General features: G+C 39.5%; 1 protein-coding gene and 1 long non-coding RNA gene across 7 annotated transcripts in view, besides 1 other annotated feature; one reads left to right on the forward strand and one right to left on the reverse strand.

The window, feature by feature from the left end:
• The window catches only part of ADD3-AS1 (ADD3 antisense RNA 1), a 62823-nt gene that overhangs the window by 35198 nt on the left and 5499 nt on the right, over window positions 1-22126 (reverse strand). The gene's annotated exons all lie outside the window — the stretch shown is intronic.
• Window positions 6589-7090: an enhancer, noted in NCBI's record as "NANOG hESC enhancer chr10:111747103-111747604 (GRCh37/hg19 assembly coordinates)". NCBI's record gives its function as "activates a minimal SCP1, AML or CMV promoter by ChIP-STARR-seq in primed H9 embryonic stem cells {active_cell/tissue: H9 hESC(primed)}" and the evidence as "EXISTENCE:reporter gene assay evidence [ECO:0000049][PMID:30033119]".
• ADD3 (adducin 3) overlaps window positions 15617-22126 on the forward strand; it is a 139193-nt gene continuing 132683 nt past the window's right edge. For all 6 annotated transcript variants that reach the window (NM_001320591.2, XM_047424588.1, XM_047424590.1 and 3 more), the window contains exon 1: window positions 15617-15690. The gene's annotated coding sequence lies outside the window, so the exon portion shown is untranslated. The remainder of the gene's footprint in view (window positions 15691-22126) is intronic.

The following is a 22126-nucleotide window of genomic DNA, read 5'->3' on the forward strand; positions in this document are numbered from 1 at the left end:
AAAGAGCACAATGTGAGTGGACAGGTGTTCTGTTTAAGGAGGGGAAATGCTATTTTACATCATTTCAATTATGTGCCCAGCAAGCCACAGAGTCAAGGCACAAGTTGACAATTATAGCTCCAAGTTTTGCAAGAGAAATGGAACAGAGGAAAAGGAAATCCAAAGAGACTATCATCCCAGTTTTTCGAAACTGTCTCTGGTGATAATGTCCTGCGAAAGATGAATGAGGAGAAACAAAGTGCCTCAAAGTAGATTTGTTAATATTTCCTTTGAATAATGGGGGAGAGGTGTCCTACAGACAATTCAGAATAACTTAGAGACAAGTTGTATTTTAAATCAGTTTTCTTGATTAGCTTCTGTGGTGTTTAGGAGTGTGGATTCTGGATCTGTCTGGTTAGTTTGATATTCTGCCTCTTCCCTTTAGCCTCCTTAAGCCTCAGTTTCTCCATATGTAAAATGGGGATGACAGCATTCTCTGCATTGTCTACTCCAGTGTTGTCATTAGAATTAAATAAGATAGTCCATTTATACCACAAGCACAGCACCTGGAAAGGGAAAGGGGATGGGAGATGAAGCAGAAGAAAATAATATAGTAAAATTAGGCCAGTTCCGGTGTAAAATTAGGCCAGGTCAGCACTTTGGGAGGCCAAGGTGGGTGGATCACAAGGTCAGGAGTTGGAGACTAGCCTGGCCAACAGGGTGAAACCCCATCTCTACTAAAAATACAAAAATTAGCTGGGCATGGTGGCGCACACACGTAATCCCATCTACTCAGGAAGCTGAGGCAGGAGAATTGCTTGAACCCAGGAGGTTGCAGTGAGCTGAGATTTTGCCATTGCACTCCAGCCTGGACGACATAGTGAGACTCTGTTCCCCCCGCAAAAGAAAAAGAAAATAATATAGTAAAATTAAACAGAGAGAGGCCTTATCCAGACTAATGATGAAAGGGTGCATGAACCCACAAGTATGATTTACTCAACCCCATGCTCCTGAGGTCAAAGAAAAGCAATAAGGAGAAGGAGCTTTAACACATGGACTTTGCCATTGTGTTTGTCCGTTAGCACATCTTGGCTTATTTCCTCCTTCTCCACTATGTCTGATGTGGTGAGTTTGCTCAGTAGCCAAGTTCTAGAGAAAATGAGTAATAAACAAAAAGGAGCCAAAACAATTATATACCCATAGAAGTAAACCCACATACTAATGAGACTTTAGAGGCTCTTCAGATCAATCGTCTGAGACTGCAGAGGTTGAGTGGCCTGTCAAAGTCATGTGGCTAAGGAGTAGCCAAGTCAGGACCAGGCTCTAAAGGTGTCCTAGGGTCCCCCTCAGTACATCAGGCAGCAGGAGGAATGGAGATAATAATAATAATGTTACCTTATATCATATTTTACGTCCAATGCAACACGAAAGAGAAACTTCTATACAAGTATCTTTTAAAGTTCAACTCACAATAGGCTTTACACTTTAAATGGGTCACTCTTCATCACCATGGTGATTCTTCCAAGTTTTCCTGGAATTATCAGCTGTTTTCTAATAAGGACACTCCCCAGAACTTGCAACTGCACCAAGCAGATAAATATTTCCCAGTAGAAAATACTTAGCTCCTCGCTCAGCTTAGTCAGCAATTGCTTTTTCTTCTCCACTTCCCAGGAAAACAGCCTGAAGCATGCTCCTACATTTGCTTTAGATATCACAGAGTTCTTTAAAAGTCTCTTGATTCTACTGAGGACAAGCTTGCTTCCTTGGGTTTTATGTGATTTATATATTGAGAAACAGCCACCTTCTTGCTTTCTATCTTTCTAACTGAGCAATGAGTAGATCACAATTTAAAAACATATGGCAGCTCTTCAAAAAATTAAAAAAGAATTACCATATGATTCAGCAATCCCGTTTTTGGGTATTTATCCAAAAGAATTGAAAGCAGGATCTTGAAGATATATTTGTACAGCCATGTTCGTAGCAGCATTATTCACAACCGCCAAAAGGTAGAAGCAACCCAAATGTCCTTTGACAGATGAAAGGATAAACAAAATGTGCATATTATTCAGCCTGAAAAAGAAAGGGAATTCTGACACATGTTATAACATGGATGAACCTTGAGGACATTAAGCTAAGTAAAATAAGCCATTCACAAAAAGAGAGAAATATTGTATTATTACACTTATATGAGATAGCTAGACAAGCCAAATTCACAGAAATAGAAAGTGCAATGGTTGTTGCCAGGGGCTGGAGGGAGAGGGAAATGGCAAGTTGGTGTTTAAGGAGAATAGAATTTTAGGTTTGCAAGATAATAAAGCTCTGGAGATTGGTTGCACAACAATGTGAATATCCTTAGTAATACTGAACTATACACTTAAAAATGGTTAAGACGATCAATTTTATGTTGTCTATTTTATCACAGTTAAACATTTTTAAATTTTTTTTAAATAAGAGGGAGAGAGAAAGAGAGATGGGGAGGCAGGATAGAATGCATCCTGTACAGTTTGTATTAAATAGTCTCATTGTTTTAAACAATTCTGTTCTATTTTATTTTATTTTATTTTATTTTATTTTATTTTATTTTATTTTATTTTATTTCAATTCAGGGTCTTACTCTGTTACCCAGGCTAGAGTGCGATGGCGCAATCTCGGCTCACTGCAGCCTCAATCTTTCAGGCTCAGGCAATCCTCCCGCCTTAGCCTGCTGAGTAGCTGGGACTACGGGCGCGTGCCACCACGCCTGGCTAATTTTTGTATTTTTAGTAGAGACGGTTTTGCCACATTGCCCAGGCTAGTCTGGAACTCCTGGGCTCAAGCAATCTGCCTGCCTTGGCCTCCCAAATTGCTGGTTACAGGTGTGAGCCACCACGCCCAGCCTAAATAGTTATTTTAAATAGTCTCATTAGTCTTATCATGCTTCTCAGTCATAGTTGTGAAGGTTCAGCGTTGAAGTCTCAGGGCACTAAATCTGCCAAAAGCACCAGCTTAAGGCAGTGTAAATAGACAGTGAACAACACCATGACCAATTATTTACCTGAATGTTCCCCCGAATTTGTCAAGTTTCCTCTTGGCTCATATTGATCTCCAGTTGGCTAGAGATATCTACCCTTCCAGTTTTGTCAATATCCCTAGAGTTCCTTTGCATAAGTTATGATTTTGACTAACACTTAGAAACTGTTGATTTCGCAGGGAAAAAAATGGTTATCTTTTAAATGGACAAACCAAAATTCTTGAAGTTCAAATCCTTGCTTGTGACATAAGTTCCTTTTTGTACCTACCTTTATGAGTAAAACTGTGTTCCTCTCCTAAAAAAATTTACATATTGAAGCCCTAACCCCCATAACTCAGAATGTGACCTTATTTGAAAACAGGGTAATTGCAGATTTAAGTTAAGATGAAGTCATAGTGGAGTAGGGTGAGCCTCCAATTCAAGATGACTGATGTCCTTACAAAAAGGGGAAATTTGGACACAGTCACATACACAGAGAGAACGCCATGAAAGCAGAGATCTACAAGCCAAGGCATGCCAAAGATGGGCAGCAATCCTGCAGAAGCTAGGGGAGAAGCATAGAGCAGATTCTTCCCTACAGCCCCGAGAAGAAACCAACCCTGCCCACACCTTGATCTCAGATGTCCAGCCTTCAGAACTGTGAGACAATACACTTCTATTGTTTAAGCCAAAAATAAATAAAAATCATTGCCTTGATATGAGCTTCATTACCACCACCATTTCCCTTTCTCGATTCCTTTGCCTCTTAGCGCCTTCTGCTTTTTTTCAACTTAGAAGTAGCCAGCTCTCTTCCCTCCAAAGTTTCCCTGCCCCTCTAGGCTCCCACCCCATGCACCATGGTGGGTTTTTGTTTGTTTGTTTGTTTGTTTGTTTGAGACAGAATCTCGCTCTGTTGCTCAGGCTGGAGTGCAGTGGCGCCACCTTGGCTCACTGCTACCTCCACCTGACGGTGTCAAGTGATTCTCCTGCCTCAGCCTCCTGAGTAGCTGGGATTACAGGCATGCACCACCATGCCTGGCTAATTTTTGTATTTTTAGCAGAGATGGGGTTTCACCATGTTGGCTAGGCTGGACTCGAACTCTTGATCTCAAGTGATCTGCCTGCCTCAGCCTCCCAAAATGCTGGAATTACAGGCATGAGCCACCGTGCCTGGCCCCATGGTGTGTTACAATATGTGCAGCTTTATTTTCTTTCTTTCTGTTTTAAATTTTTTTATTTCCATAGGTTTTTGGGAACAGGTGATATTTGGTTACACGAGTAAGTTCTTTAGTGGTGATTTGTGAGATTTTGGTCCGCCCGTCACCCAAGCAGTATACACCGAACCCGATTCATAGTCTTTTATCCCTCACCCCCTTCCCACCCTTTCCTCCAGAGTCCCCAAAGTCTACTGTGTCATTCTTATGCTTTTGCAGCCTCATAGTTTAGCTTCCACTTATGAGTGAGAACATACGATGTTCGGTTTTTCATTCCTGAGTTACTTCACTTAGAATAATAGTCTCCAATCCCATCCAGGTTGCTTTGAATGCCATTAATTCATTCCTTTTTATGGCTGAGTAGTATTCCATCATAAATATATGATATATATATATATATCTCACAGTTTATATATCTTTGATATATATACCAGAGTTTCTTTATCCACTCATTGATTGATGGGCATTTGAATTGGTTCCATGATTTTGCAGTTGTGAATTGTGCTGCTATAAACATGCATGTGCAAGTATCTTTTTCGTATAATGACTTCTTTTCCTCTGGTTAGATATCTAGTAGTGGGATTGCCGGATCAAATGGTAGTTCTACTTTTAGTTTTTTAAGGAATCTCCACTGTTTTTCATAGTGGTTGTACCAGTTTACATTCCCACCAGCAGTGTAGAAGTGTAGATTCTTTTATTATGGCCATTCTTGCAGGAGTAAGGTAGTATCACATTGTGGTTTTGATTTGCATTTCCCTGATCATGAGTGATGTTGAGCATTTTTTCATATGTTTGTTTGGCCATTTGTATATCTTCTTTTGTGAATTGTCTATTCATGTCCTTAGCCCACATTTTGATAGGATTGGTTTTTTTTTTCTCCTGTTAATTTGTTTGAGTTCGCCGTAGATTCCAGATATTAGTTCTTTGTCAGATGTATAGATTGAGAAGATTTTCTCCCACTCTGTGGGTTGTCTGTTTACTTTGCTGACTGTTCCTTTTGCCGTGCAAAGCTCTTTAAATTAAGTCCCAGCTATTTATCTTTGTTTTTATTGCATTTGCTTTTGAGCTCTTGGTCATGAAATCCTTGCCTAAGCCAATATCTAGAAAGTTTTTTCTGATGTTATCTTCTAGAGTTTGTATAGTTTCAGGCAAAAGCAACCAAGCTGAGAAATCAAGATCTCAACTCCTTTTACAATAGCTGCAAAAAAATTAAATACTTAGGAATATACCTAACCAAGGAGGTGAAAGGCCTATACAAGGAAAACTACAAAATACTGCTAAAAGAAATCATAGATGACACAAACAAATGGATCAACATCTCATGCTTATGGATGGGTAAAATAAATATTGTGATAATGACCATACTGCCAAAAGCAATCTACAAATTCAATGCAATTCTCATCAAAATACCACTATCATTCTTCACAGAACTAGAAAAAAAATCTTAAAATTCATGTGGAACTAAAAAAGAGCCTGCATAGCCAAAGCAAGACTAAGGAAAAAGAACAAATCTAGAGGCATCACATTACCTGATTTCAAACTATACGATAAGGCCACAGTCACCAAAACAGCATAGTACTGGTATAAAAATAGGCACATAGACCAATGGAACAGAATAGAGAACCAAGAAATAAAGCCAAATACCTACAGCTAACTGATCTTTGACAAAGCAAACAAAAACATAAAGTGGGGAAAGGACACACTATTCAACAAATGGTGCTTGGATAATTGGCAAGCCACCTGTAGGAGAATGAAACTGGATCCTCATCTCTTACCTTATATAAAAATCAACTCAAGATAGATCAAGGACTTAAATCTAAGTGCAGGCTTTATTTTCATTTAATTTTATTAACTTGTTTGCTTTTTATTATAAAAGTAATATATACTTATGTTTAAGTTGACTTTGGCTGGGAGTGGTGGCTCGCCCCTGTAATCCCAGCACTTTGGGAGGCCAAGTTGGGTGGATCACTTGAGATCAGGCATTCGAGACCAGGCTGGTCGACATGGTGAAACCTCTTCACTACTAAAAACACAAAAATTAGCTGGGTGTGGTGGTACAATTAGCAATTAGCACCAAAATGAGCATCCTTGTGTTTGTATCTTTAAGCACTTATTTGATTGTATTTAGACGATAAATTCCTAGAGTTACTGGGTCAAAAGACACATGCATTTTACATTTTTATAGATATCCTCCATGGACCTTAGTACCAGACAAAGCTGGGATTGAATCTGTACTCTGATACTAGCTGTGTTGCTTCAAACATGTTACTTTATTCTTTCTCAGCCTCAGTTTCCTTGGCTGTAAAATGGATATAGATTATATCTCAGAGTTGTTCAAGGATTAAACAATATGTTTAGTTCAAAATGGTTAGCAGTTCACATATATTCATACCTTTCTCTCCTCTTTATTGTCCCTCTCCTAATTCCTCTCTGAGTTTTTGCAAAGATTTGGCAAATATCCCATTTCATTTTATGTCAACAAATATTTATAAAACATTTAATATGTGCAAGTTTTGACAAACGCTGTAGGGATTCTAAATGTTTTCTTTTAAGGCACAGTCCTTTCTGGAACTTACAGTATTGTACAGGAGAAAACTATCTCCCAGGTCCTACAATAGGGCAGGCCCTTACTTAACATGTTTGGAATGAGTGAGTAAAGAAAGGAAGGAATGTTGCTGAATGAGTAACACCACAGTCTGGAAAAGAGCTCAGTGTAGGTCCTAGCAGCATAGAGTGGAGCATGGAGTCAAAAGTGACGGAGATGAGATTTTGCAAAACTTTTCTTCTGGATTTTACCTAATCACAAGGGAGGCATTGGGGCTGAAGGCCAAAAAAGCATTTGCTAGAAATATACTTAAAGTCTTATGTTTTAACTTAAAACTTCACATGAAGTTTGCATTCTACTCCATAACACATTGTTTGTTTCCAAATAAATGGAATCTTTCTCCTCAGTCCTAGCATAAAATGAACATTCCAAGAAAATGTACTATATTTATTGGGTGGCTCTAGTTCCTCCTGACATGCTTTCAGAGATATATACACCCAAGTTTGAGAAGCGTGAGATTAAGATAGATGCAGAATGAGTTCTCACTTCATGCTTCACCAGCCATCTCCCCTCTGTCTGTACTACACACCCACTCACAGCCTCATCCCTCTCAACTTTCTGCTAAAACTCTTACCTACCCCTGTTTTCTCTTCAATCCTGGTGTTGTTTTCCTTACCAATCTAAATTTTATGTTGACACTCTGCTACTCAAAATATATGTAAGAAAAAGAAATCAGCTACAAAACTCTTCCAACATCACTTGAGGTCATTAAAGTCTCAAGGGACCCTGTCATTCATCCACATTGTGTTAGCTTCTTCTGTCTCATCCCGGTCATCTATGACAATAGACTCTCAGAGAGATGTAGCTTGTTTCATTTAAATCTTGAAAAGCACCCAAACTAATGCTGTGGTCAATTAATGTTGCTTGGGTTCTGAGCATTCAGCTGAGTGTTCTCCTCTGTGTTTGAAGGACACTGTAAATGGAACACATGTTTTGAATTGCTTCTCCAGAGCTCTGATCTTTCCACCCCTTCTCTACCCCCACTGCTTGGGCTCTGGGTCAGTCCTCATCATCTCTTGTGTGGATTATTTCCCTAGCTCCTTCCATGGGTCTTCTTGTCTTTCTATTCTACCCTCCTCGAAGCTGCTAAAGTAGCTTTTCTAACCCAGAGGTCAGCCCACACTACTCCCTTGCTTAAAACTTAGGTGGCAACAATCTATAACCATGGGCAAGGACATTCCATTTCACTTATAAACATGAGTGAAAGAAGCCAGATACAAAAAAAGTACACACGTTAAAGCTGTAAAATGGATATAAATTCTATCTCAGAGTTGTTCAAGGATTAAACAATATGTTTAGTTCATAATGGTTAGAAAACCGATCTATGGGGTTAGAAGTCAGGATAGTGATTCCACTTGGCAGGGATGTGGAACAGTAGTGATTGGTAGGGAGCACAAAAGGGGTTTCTGATAGGTTGTTAATGTCCCATTTCATGATCTGAGTACTAGAAAAACAGATAGGTTCAGTTTATGCAAATCCATCCAGCTGTACTCTTATGTTTGGGTCACTATTCTCTATGTCTATTCTGTCAATAAAAAAGTATAAACAAACAAAAAACATTGGCCAATTTCCCTTAGCATAATGCACAGTCATTCTCATATCTCCCACCCATTCCCCCTACCAATTATCCGCCCTATGAACCAGCCACACCAGATCACCTGATGTTCTCCAAACACAGCATGCTTCCCATTTTCTCGTGATGCTGCTCACTTCGCCAGCAAGCTCTTCGACTGAAAGTCGACTTATTCTTTGAGGCTCCTCTCAAATATCACCTCCTCCATGAGATTTCTTCCTGACTTCCCTTACTTTGTATTTTCTTTCCTATTTTTCCTATATATATAACAAGATGCATGCTCTGAAAAGTATGAGTTATACTTAATGGGACAATAGGATTAGAATACAGGGATCAGGAATGGCCTGGAAAATCCACGCTGTGTATAAAACATTGTATTATAGTAATTTCTTTGGATTTATCTCTCTATCTGGACCAGAAGTTCTTAATCATTTCTGTGTCATGAACCCCTTTGGCAGACTCGGTAAGTCTACTGATCTCCGTTTTTTTTTTGACACGGAGTTCCACTCTTGTTACCCAGGCTGGAGTGCAATAGCCCGGTCTTGGCTCACTGCAACCTCCACCTCCTGGGTTCAAGTGATTCTCCTGTCTCAGCCTCCCAAGTAGCTGGGAGTACAGGCGCCTGCCCCACACCCAGCTAATTTTTGCATTTTTAGTAGAGACAGGGTTTCACTATGTTGGCCAGGCTGGTATCAAGCTCCTGACCTCAGGCAGTCGGCCTGCCTCGGCCTCCCAAAGTGCTGGGATTACAGGTGAGAGCACCTGGCCTGGATCTCCTTTTTAAAAGTAAGTTTTTTGTTTGTTTGTTGTTTTTTGAGACAGAGTCTCACTCTGTCACCCAGCTGCAGTGCAGTGGCACAATCTTGGCTCACTGCAACATCCACCTCCCAGGTTCAAGTGATTCTCTAAAGTAAGTTTTTATAACTATAAGTGCATAAATCATGTACAGCTCAATGAATGTGTACAAACTGAATATATTCATATTACTAGCATTTGGATCAATAATTAGCTAACCCCAAAGCCCCCTTGTCCCAGCCACCACCCCACAAAAAAGTAAACTATTTTGAAATTAGTCTGTTTTTAAACTTTATGTAAATGGAAAAATATAGTATGTTCTCTTTTGTGTCTGGTTTCTTTTGCTTAACCTTATGTTTGTGAGGTTCATCCATGTTGCTGAATGTAGCAATTGTTTATTCATTCTCATCTCTGGGTGGTATTTCATTACATGATTATACCAATGGTGATTTATTCATTCTTCTATTGATGAACATTTACTTTGTTTTCAGTTTTTTATTTAATGAACAGTGCTATTATAAACATCCTCATGCATGTAATACAGTACATATATGTATCCATTTCAGAACACTTTTTAAATGAATAAATACATAGGAGCACAAAAGAAATAAATGTACGGCTTTCAAAAGACAAAAAAATTTCAGATATAACTACATATGTGCTTCATTAACACAATTTCTACATCTAGCAGTGAGTCTAATAACTATTGTAATTTCAAAGTTATGATGTGCATAAATGACATTTTAAAATTTCTGCCAAACTACCATATGCTATGAAAATATCTATGATTTCTCCTGGTAACAAAGTCACACATATTGTGAGTACTTCTGTTCTTTGGTGAATACATTTACAATTGAAGGAAATGTAAAATTTTAGTTAGAGGTTAGTGGAAAATAGACATGTGATTCTTTTTCCCCATCCAAATTCAAGAAGCCTCTGAATTCTATTAGGTTAATAACCTCTCACCTAGACTTAACCCCCTTAAAAGCAAGGATCATATCTTAACCATATTAAAAATTCAGAATTTGGCACAAAACTTGGCACACATTAGGTGTTCAAATATTTTTTGAATGACAAACTCATGAATGACAATAGCTAACTTTTACTGAGCATGTAATATATGCCAGGTTCTATGCTAGGTACTTTAAATGTTCTTAAATCCTCACGACAACTTTTTGATTGCTGCCTCCATTTTACTGATGAGAAAACAAAGACTTGGATAGGCTACATAAATTGCCATGATTTTATTGCCAGTAGGTGTCAGGGCAGGAATTTAAACTCAAATGTTTCGGACTCCCCCCCCACCACCCACCTCCCCAAGCCCCCAGCTGACTGCTAACTTCTACGTTTACTGCTGACAATTGAATGAAGAGATAAATGAATAAATGAATGAACAAATGGATAAACTTAACCAACTACACACTCTACTCCACTAATTTTTACAACCAGTGGAACAATTTCGAGAAGCAATTGGCTGGAATTAGTGATGCAGGGTGGTTGTTGAATATTTCTTTGCATGAGGCAATTTGGCTCCTTGAAAAAAATTAAGCTCAAGTGCTCATTAACACTGTTTTTTAATCAAATGAACTGGCATCTGGCAAATGTTAGATGATAGATGTTTGCAGTGCCCAGCTTTAGCAGGCAAGCTCCTGGGCCACAGAGCTTTATTCACTGTAACCAGTACTAAGCTCCAAGTGCACACATCAGGTTTTTTGTGGGAAATTATCTGATGACCAAGTCTCACTTCCTTTCAAGAAAAACACTCATAATGGTCATATGCCAGTTAGGGCATTTTGCCCTATCTGAGATCCAAAGGAAGCTGTGGAGGGATATAAAGGAACCCTAGATGTCAGGGGTTCCAGATTCCTCTCTTGTCTTGAGGGCTTAGATAGGTGAGGGTCTTTCTAGGGTATTAAACCAGATGGTCTTTCAGTTCTGACTTTTATCCAAAGGAAACATATTAACTTATTTATTTCCTTTAAAAAGGTATTCTCCAAGTGAGGATTCCTGAACTTTGTGAAAAGGTAACCAAGTGCTTAAACATATGTTTGTGAATTTAGCTATTCTTATTTTACTGTTTTTTGAAATTATACAAATAATACTTGCACATGTAAAAGCACTCAAATATCCAAACATTTAAAGCAAAAAATGAAAATCTCTTTCTCCTAATCCCACCCCTCAGAATTAACTACTGTTAAGTTTTTCGTACAGATTTCCAAACTTTTTTCTAAATACATACACCATATATTTACATCTATATACTCACATAAATATATGCACATGCCCATGCATACATAGATACATATATACAAATATAGCTCATCATATAGTGGTCTAAAACGTACTTTTTTCCTCAACAATATATCATGGACATCATACCAGGTTAACATGATGTTTCATCAAGGCTGTATAGTATTCCATTTTATGGATCCATTATCATTGTTTTTACTATTCTATTGAAAGCTTTAGACTGTTGTTGTCACTGTTGTTTTGTTTGTTTGACATTGGAAACCACCTGGCAGTGAACATCCTTGTAACTATCTTGTTTAAATGTTCACACAAGAATTTCCGCACAGTAACTTCATTACCATGGATTTTTTTTAGTCAAAGAGGCACATGTTTTAATTTTTCATACTTATGGACAAGTTCAAAAAGAGATGTTTTGAAGCTTCTGTTCCTACGGAAACTTTCTGTGAAGTTTCAAATGACTGTGAGGTCCACAGCTCTGGGTTATCTCACTCCTAAACTCATGGAATTCCTTTCACTTTAGTAAAGTTAGCATGTTTCCTGCATTACGACAATCTCTTATCCCAGAGCACATTTGAACTCCTTTCCAAACTATCCTTTATTTCAGAAGCCTCTCATGCTGCAAAGTAAAGATTAAATTCTACCTCCACTATGGATTTTTTCTAACTAGTTAGCATACACTTGCGTACAGCTTCATTAAGTCCCTGTTTAAGCTTCCTTCTTTTCTATTGTACAAGCAAAAGAAGGTGGTTTTATTGAGAAGGAAAATGCAAGGCAATATACAGAAAGTGGTTATTTATTTGAAACAGGAACAAGGGAAAAGTTGAGAACATTTCAGAACAAATCATCATAACAGGAACCTGAAATCATGCCATAAACACCTCAGGCCCCAAGAAATACTGACTTCAATATATTCTAAGAAAAGAATTCTTAATTGTAATTTTACCAAGCACTCTGTATGTGCAGGCATTTTATAGAAAATCTTTTTTTTTTTTTTTTTTTTTTAGACAGAGTCTTGCTCTGTCGCCCAGGCTGGAGTGCAGGGGTGCAATCTTGGCTCACTGCAAGCTCCGCCTCCCGGGTTCACTCCATTGTCCTGCCTCAGCCTCCTGAGTAGCTGGGACTACAGGCGCCCGCCACCATGCCTGGCTAATGTTTTTGTATTTTTCAGTAGAGAAGGGGTTTCCCCGTGTTAGCCAGGATGGTCTCGATCTCCTGACCTCGTGATCTGCCCGCCTTGGCTTCTCAAAGTGCTGGAATTACAGGCGTGAGCCACCGTGTCTGGCCTAGAAATTATTTCTAATCCTCCCAATAGACTTGTCAGGTAAGTTGCAATATCTCCGTCAGGTAGATGAGGAAACTGAGCCTTACAGAACTGATGCAATTGCGTCAAGATTTCATATCCAGTAAAGTGCTTAAGATGGGGTTCAAACTCAGATTCATCTGATTTTCTTTCCATTGTACTTTGTTGTTTCTCTTGCCATCCACATTGCCAACTCAGAACTTCAAGGAAAAGAATCAAGACCAATGAATGGAGGTGCCAAGATGCAGAACTTAGCTCAGCATAAGGAACATAAGAAGATGAGTCACTTTTCATGGGAGGTTGGATGATGGGTTATCTGTCAGGAGTAATGTAGATTATATTTCTGCAGTGGGTCAGAGGCTAGATCAGTCCTCTTCCAAGTCTACACATGTATACTTTGACTCCCATATCCATTTTACAGATAGGGAAACAGAAGTTTAGAATCATTAAGTGATTCGTTCAAGTCCACAGCTCATTAGTGCAGACCCCAAGCATAGTGGTGGCTCTTCTACTGACCTTTCCACAAGAAAACACCTACTTCTAAGTTTGTAGACTTTCTTCTATCTTGTCTATATTATCTTGAATCCCTTTAGTCACTTGTTTGTTCTTGTAGGTTCTGCCTTGATATCTTAAACAAACACAGGATTGGAGCAGAGAGTGCCATGCTTTTATTTTCTCCTCCTATCTCTTCCAAGAACAAAGGCACAAGGGGCAGTCTAGCGCAGGACCATTTGGCGTCACCCTACTTCACCTTACTTTTTTTTTTTTTTTTTGAGACGGAGTCTTGTTCTGTCGCCCAGGCTGGAGTGCAGTGGTGCAATCTAGGCTCACTGCAAGCTCCGCCTCCTGGATTCACGCCATTCTCCTGCCTCAGTCTCCCGAGTAGCTGGGACGACAGTGTCCGCCACCACGCCTGGCTAATTTTTTTGTATTTTTGAGTAGAGATGGGGATTCACCATGTTAGCCAGGATGGTCTCAATCTCCTGACCTTGTGATCCGCCCGCCTCTGCCTCCCAAAGTGCTGGGATTACAGGTGTGAGCCACTGCACCCGGCCACCCTACATTTTTTAATGATTTGATTTCCTCATCTAGTAGTAAAAGTACTGATGCTATATATAAAGAAAGCAATAGCATGGAGAAAGAGGACTGAAATATTCCTCAAAAATACAAAAGCCATCCCAACCACAGGTACATCCAGTAAAAACTCTGGCAATCTTTTTAAAAGCAGTCAGGGTTGTATCAATTCTATCATCCCATTTCATGGAAAAGAAAAAAAAATGAAGGGTCTTTCAGAAACCACCACCTTCTGGACTGAAGCATGTTGGGTCATGGCCAGACTTCAGGGAGACTGGCTCAGAAAATTTACGCTGTATTTGAAGAGCCCCTGAATGTTTAAGAGTAGGCTGTTTGATTTATGTGCCACCCACACTCCATACCAGGTTGCAGATACAAGTTCCAGTCTGGTTTCTCAGTTACTTCCCTGGCAGAGAAGTGAAACCACCTATCAGAAAAATAACTCACCTTTCTGAGAGAGAATGCCACTCACCTTCTCATCCCAAATTCACTGCAACAAAGTATAAACTGCATTTGAAAACCAAAGGCCTTGCTCATGCATTTGGAGACTTTGATTAGATCCCTAAATCCTTACTATTTAACTTAATGTAAAGTCTGGATAAGTAAATTTCTGTAAAGGCTGCTAGAAAGGCTTATCATTGAGTTAACAATTAACATCCAAACAATTTGACTCTTGGAAAGCCTATTTACTTTGATTACCTGGTTCAGGTAGTTTTCAAAATGTAATTCTTAAACATTCAAAGTGAGGGTTAGAAGGGCCTCAAGTACAGGCAAAAGCAAAGACCAGGTGCTCTCTCACTAACTGGCCAAGCAATGTTGGAAGGCGGTAAAGAGAAGGGGCTGATAGCCCAGACTCAAGCCATTTTGTTGCCTGGTGTTGTGCTGAACTCCTATAGACTATAATGGGGATGGCACCACGTTCAAGAGGCCAAAGAAGAGACTCAGAGACATGGAGTTTTACAGAGGAGAGAGGCCAGTGGCGGTGGGCTGGGTATGAGAACCACTTGAAAAAAGCATGCAGTTTACATAGTATTTTCGCTTAACTCCCCGTGCCTAAAACCTCCACCTGGCAACTTTCATTTAACCGAAAACAAAGGACCTCGATCTCCTGTACAGCCCTCACTCCACTGGACAGGATAGGCGCTCAGATGGTCCTTCTAAGATAAGGAACAGATCCCTGATTTGGCCACTCTTGGATTTCTTAGCTCAGAATTCTGAACACACATTCAGGTGCATCTGCCATGTAGGATCATTCTCAGGATATGCACATGTCAAGTTATCACTGTCAGGTGTGTCTAACATTACCTGGATTCAAAACCCAACCACTGCTATTTACCTGCTCTTTGATCTTGGGCAAATTACTTAACCTCTCAGTGCCTTAGTTCCACTGTTTCTAAACAGGTATATTAGGGCAATACCTCATGGAGGTGTATTAAATGAAACAACCTACATTAAAAAGCACTTAACACAGTACCTGGCACATAGTGAGTGCTCAGCAAATGTTAGTAATACTATTATGTTTTAATAAGAATGGTGATTTTTCTCCACCCCCATTTGAAATGAAAATGATTGGCCATGCAGAATCAATATTGTTTTATATCCAGATTTTGTTATGTTTAATTTTCACAAATACCAACCGCTATTAAAAATAAAAAATATTAACTAGACTGGTTTTTACAACTTGATCTCTATTTATACTGTATATAATCTGCAAGTGATTAGATTTCATTTTTATTACTCTTGTTAAACTACAACATGCTTCGTTATCTCTCCCTGGGTGTGGCTTACACCCAGAACTCCTGCTGGCTTTGTTCAGTATGCTTTCTGTTGTTACTTTAGTTTCAGTAATCATTGTGAATGAGACTGTGAGAAACTTGGCTTGTTCAGAAGATACTGTGCATAAGACATGAGGTAAGTCATTAATTTCTTAGCGTTTTAAAGAGTCATAAGTCTTTTCAAAAATGGGGGAAGGAGGAAGGTCAACAAATGACTAGGATTTAACTCAAATGATTAAAAGGACAGGATGTTCCTCTTTTTCCCCTGGGGCCAGAGAAGGAAATGAGAACTAAATTTAATGTTATGAATTCTCATGTTCATAAATTAATGTCTTAGGTTTATGTGTCCTAGTAATTATGCCCTGCTTTGGAAAGCCTTGCTCTGAAAGTTTAGTCTGAAGGTAGAAACTCAGTATCTGGGAGGGCTTAGTAGAAACTATGAAATAAAAGTGTAGACAGTTTGCAGCAAGGTATTTAAATCATGCGTTAAACTTTCCTTCCTACCTCAGTGGTGTGACTGATGTCAAGCCATGGAGCTCTTCACTCTCTTCGGCCTCAATGAATTGTGCTGTTCAGGTTCTGCTATCATACATTTACACTTTAGTGAGAATTTAGGTTAATGTGTTACTACTCCCAGGAAGGATTTGTTTTGAAAGCTTTACCTCTAACTATAGATCACAAGGTTTTTATTGCTATGCCATAGATTATATTTCAAGCAACTGAGGTCACTCTAACTTAAGCAAAGCAGGAATTTATTGGAAGAATAAGGCACAGAGCTCACAGAATTGAAGAGAAAGCTGAAGAATAGGGTCTTGTAAAGACAGGAGCTAAGTGGGTTTTATGAGGTCTTCGTAGCAGTATCTAATCTCATTTTCTTCTAGGACCTCCTTTAGGTGGAATTCTAATCTTAAGTCTTTGTGTTATTACTCAAGATTCAAATGCTAGGAAGAGATTATCTGTTTGATTCAGCATGGGGTCAGCCCCTATCTCAGAAGAGGGTGGGGTGCCAAGCTGCAGCAATGAGGTAAAAAAAGGCTCCAAAGGAATATTGGGGCACCCTTACTGGAAAAGGCAAGGAATGCTGTGCAAACAAAAACAAACATTTACTATAATCAACAAGTAAAGGAATTTCACAGACCTGTAAATAGGGATACTTTGGAGATATAGTCAGAGAAGGCTGTTGCTGCCCTTGAAATCCCTGCACTTAGGTAGCCATTTTTCTTCACATGATGAATCCTTCTGAAGGACCCCTTCACAATGACAGTCTATAAGTCAAACGAGACAGAAGGGACTCTAGGATTCTTTCGCTGCTTTTCTCTCAAAAGCTTTTAAATCACACCGTATGATTTGACTATATTTGGGAATGCCATTGAATTCTTAAAGCCATGCTTTGTGGTCTTTTACACAGATGCCACTGAAATGTAGTTTCTAAGGCAAATATTTGAAAGAACACTGATACATCTAAACTTGTAGTCCACTGCACACCTACAGTGCTGGCTAAATGTGCAGCTTCCAGAGTGCAACATCAGACCTACTACAGAAGAGTTTTGATGGGGAAGGGTTAAGATGGGGGCTGATGCTAACTTTTAATAACGATCTAAATCCGGGCGGTTTTCATGTACACTTAAATTTGAGAACTACTGAACCAGTCTCAACAAATCCTAATATTTATTGGGTATATACTCTGTGACCATCAATGTTCTAGACTCTAGACTGTACTAGGGATACAACAATGAACACGATAAAGTTCTTGCTCTTTTGAAGATTCCTATGGGGAGGAAATTAATGATAAATAAGTACAACAAAATTAATTAACAAAATAATTATAAAGTGGAGTTTGTACTCTGAAGAGAAGAAAGAGGGTAATCTCAAACTTAGCAGAAGGGCTCGCTTTTATCTGTTATACTACTTCTTCTCAAGTCTTCTCTGTCTCAGGTAATGGTACTACCATCCATCAAGACACTAAGGTCAAAGGCTTTGGAGATCACTCTGGATTGAGTCCTCTCTTTCTCTCCTTTTCTGCACTCAACTCATGTACTCCATCAGCAAGTCTCCAAAATATACCCAAGATCTTTCACTTCTCTTCTCCACAGCTACCCCTACAACAAGACCCCATTTCCTCTTGTCAGGATGACTTTAATGGCTTCCTAACTAGCTTCCCAGTCTCTAGTCACATCTCTCTAGTGTTCATTCTGCACATAGCAGCCAGGAAATTCCAAAAATGCAAATGAGACTGTAGCCTTCCTTTGCTTAAAACCTTCTGAAAGTCAAACTCCTCACCATGATCTGCCAGACCCACATGATCCAGCCCCCACCTAGCTCTCCTGTCTTGGGCCTCTCTCCTTCAGTCACAGTGTTTGACCACCATGCCTTTCCCTCAATCTCTCAATCATACCAAACTTGTTCCTGCCTCATGACCTTTGAACTTACTTGTCTCTCCAGCTGCCGACTACAGATCATTCAGGTCTCAGCTCAAATGTCACCTCCTCAAAGACACCTTCTTCATCCATCCTAACTAAAGCAGTACCCCTCCCCCACCCTAGTCATTGTCAATGGCCTATTTTACTTTCTTCTTAGCCTTTAGCATCTGAAATTACCTTATTTATTGATTTGTTTACATGTTAACATCTGTTGTTTTCCCAGTACAATAAAAGCTTCATGAGTACAGGGATTTTTGTTCATTTTGTTCACTACTTTGTCTCTACCACCCAGAACAGTGCCTGGCACATAGCAGGAGTTCAACAAATACTGTTGCCTTAATGAGTGAAAATAACTGAGTGAATTAATGGACAGTGACTGGAAGTGTGGCAACTTAAACAAGCTCTCAGTAAATGAACGCTGGGTGTTTCAGGGTTTGGGGACTACGTACATTCTAAATTTGCCCTACACAAACTCTCTACTCCAGGCAAACAGATTTGTTTGCTACTCTACCAACACACTTTATATTTTGCTGTCCATGTTCAATGAGGAGACCTAGGTTGTGCATTCATAATGAGCTTGACCCTGAGCAAAGCACTGTGGGACCTGTCTCAGAAAGCTCACATGCATACGCTTCCTCCTGCCACCGCCATCACCTAAGGCCCTTCTCCTCGTTTTTCCCCCATTAAAGTTCTGCTCTTCCCACTCACAGACATCCTCCCTGTTTTCTCCAGCAGGAATTGACCTCTATCTTCCCTGACTCCTTTTGGACTCTCTTATTCCCTGACTCTGGTATATTATACTTACAAAATATGTGCCTGGGCAAATTATTTAACCTTTCTGAGTCTCAGTTTCCTCATTTGAAAAACAGGATCAATGATACTAATTTAGCAGGACTGATATCATGATTAAATGTAGTATAAACTTCAAGCATAGTGCTTGGCACATAATCACTCTTTAAACTGTAGCTATAACAAATATTATTTTCCTCATTATTAATAAAACTATCATATCTTAATAATTATTAAAATAAAAATATTGATACGACAGTTATTTATTGAACATTCAGCATTTCCTAGGAGCTTTACATTTATTATGTCATATGAAATAATTCTGCAATCTAGTTGTTTCATACATTTGTGTTTCATTTCCCAGCTAGATGTTGAGGCCATAAGCTATGTCTTAAGGTTGTTTTTTTTTTTTTTTTTTGAGACAGAGTCTCAATGTGACACCCAGGCTGGAATACAATGGTGCGATCTCGGCTCACTGCAACCTCTGCCTCCTGGGTTCAAGAGATTTTCCTGCCTCAGCCTCCTGAGTAGCTGGGATTACAGGCATGCACCATCATGCGCAGCTAATTTTTGTATTTTTAGTAGAGACTGGGTTTCACCATGTTGGCCAGGCTGGTCTTGAACTCCTGACCTCAGGTGATCCGCCCACCTTGGCCTCCCAAAGTGTTGGGATTATAGGCGTGAGCCACCGCACCTGGCGTCTTAAGGTTTTTTTAAATAATCCTTCCACTACCAGACTAGTGTGCTGTTAATAACACATGCTCAAGAACTATCTGCTGTAAATAATAAGATGATTTATAGCTCTGAGAGTTAATGATTTGTATTATGTCAGAATATAAGCTGGTCTGAAAAATCAGATCAATTCAGTCTGCAATTTTTGTGTGAAAACTTGGGTTTGGATCTGTCAGCTGCTTAAATAGTGTGCTGACGCAACCTGTCCCTTCCATTCATTCGACGAGTACTTTTGAGCACCTACTATGTGCCATGCTCTGTTATGAGCAACTGGTAAAGACTTCTAAAATAGGGAAATTATTACATTCATTTGTCAATATTTCTGTTATGTTTATAAACTCCACTTTTGCAGTTCCATACTCTTCCCAAGAAACTGGCTCATATTTTAGAATCTAAGCACTTAGAGAATGTACAGAACATACAGCATGATGAACTGTTAGGCTCTGGAGTCAGAAAGCCTGGATTTGATCCCTAGCAGTGTTAATTCTATGCTTTGATATCCTGGGCAAGTTACTTATTCTCTCCAAGGCTCAGTTCCTTAATCTGTACAATGAAGATAATAATACAGTAGTATCTACCTTTAAGGGTTATTGTAGGTATGAGATGAAATAACACATATAAGACATTCAGTACTGGTATGTTTTAAGAGCTCAAAATTTTAGCCACCATTAAATTACTAGTTCACATTACTCTACCAAACATACTAAGAACACTAGACAAGAATAATGCACCTGGAAACTCATTTTTGAACACAGAGTGAGAGAATAAACAAATATTTAAATTCCATATGGTGTCAGGCATTAGAAGCTCTCCATATGTTATGTCATTTAATCCTCACAACAATGTCAAACAGGTATTATCTTACAGATTAAGATACTAGGGGCTGGGCATGTTGGCTCACACCTGTAGTCCCAGCACTTTGGGAAGCCGAGGTGGGTGGGTCACTTGAGCCCGGTAGTTCAAGACCAGCCTGGGCAACATGGCAAAACCCCGTCTCTACTAAAAACACAAAAATTAGTCAGGCATAGTGGTGCACACCTGTAGTCCCAGCTACCAGGAAGGCTGAGGTGGGAGGATCGCTTGAGCCCGGAAGATTGAAGCTGTGGTGAGCTGAAATCACACCACTGCACTCCAGCCTGAGAGACAGAGTAAGACCCTGTCTCAAAAAAAAAAAAAAAAAAATTACTAGGACTCAGAGAGGTTAAATATTTTGCACACATTTATGCAGCAGAAAAGGTGTAGCCAGTTTTGTGCTTATCTGAATCTCTTTCACATAATGAAACGGGGCCATCCGCATTTCACTCATGTCTGAGATTCTGTCTACACAGTGCATTGTTTCTATAGGATAGCTGTGATCAAACTGGTGATACATGAGAATCACTTGGGGTGCTTAAAAAGTCCTCAATCGTCTTCTTTATTCAGAGATTTTTTTTTAAAAAAAGTCTCAATCCAGGGCCCCATCCTAAAAGATTTAATTCAGTAAATTTGGAGTAGAGCCTATGAATTAGTATTTTAGGAAACACTCCAAATGGTTCTGTTGGAGGTAGTTCCTGATTACTTTCTAGAAATACTGTCATAAGAAGTAAAACACCTGGTTTTAAGATCATGTAACATACTAGAGATTCGTAGCTGAAGTGTGAAGGCATATGACTATGTGATGAAAAGATGTATATGCAACTAACGTATTTTAGGTTTCACATAGCAATTGCATTTTTTGCATTCATTTTAAAGTTTTTCTACATAGAAACTAGCGATTCTTGGCTGGGTGTGGTGGCTCACCCCTGTAATCCCAGCACTTTGGGAGGCTGAAGTGGGCAGATCGCTCGAGGCCAGGAGTTCAAGACCATCTGGCCAACATGGTGAAACCTCGTTTCTACTAAAACTACAAAAATTAGCCAGGTGTGGTGGCAGGCACCTGTAATCCCAGCTACTCAGGAGGCTGAGGCAGGAGAAACGCTTGAACCCAGGAGGTGGAGGTCACAGTAAGACTCCGTTTCAAACACAAACAAACAAAAAGAAACTAGTGAGTCTTTTTTTTTTGAGACGGAGTCTCGCTCTGTCACCCAGGCTGGAGTGCAGTGGCACAATCTTGGCTCACTGCAAGCTCTGCCTCCCGGGTTCACGCCATTCTCCTGCCTCAGCCTCCTGAGTAGCTGGGAACACAGGCTCCCGCCCCCCACACCGGGCTAATTTTTTGTATTTTTAGTAGAGACGGGGTTTCATGGTGTTAGCCAGGATGGTCTCGATCTCCTGACCTTGTGATCTGCCTACCTCGGCCTCCCAAAGTGCTGGGATTACAGGCATGAGCCACCGTGCCTGGCTGGAAACTAGTGACCCTTAAGTTGAGTTTCTATGAGTCTTTATGTTCTACATATGAGTGGGCCTCCCACTAGGAGTTTCTTATTTGTAGCAGTTGTTTGCATATTTATTTAGTCATGATGATTTTAAGTTACCAAATAGAAAATGAATAAATGAGAACAAACACTTAAAAAAAAAGAGGACCCTAAGGGTGATATTTCATTAAAGTTTCAGAAATATATCAGGCTTGATTACTTAAACAGTTGTATAAAGATCTTTCAGATATTTAGCTGAGGTTAATTCCTTTAAAATAAACCATATAGGTCACATAGT

This window comes from Homo sapiens, chromosome 10 (assembly GCF_000001405.40).
Source record: "Homo sapiens chromosome 10, GRCh38.p14 Primary Assembly".
Taxonomy (NCBI): domain Eukaryota; kingdom Metazoa; phylum Chordata; class Mammalia; order Primates; family Hominidae; genus Homo; species Homo sapiens.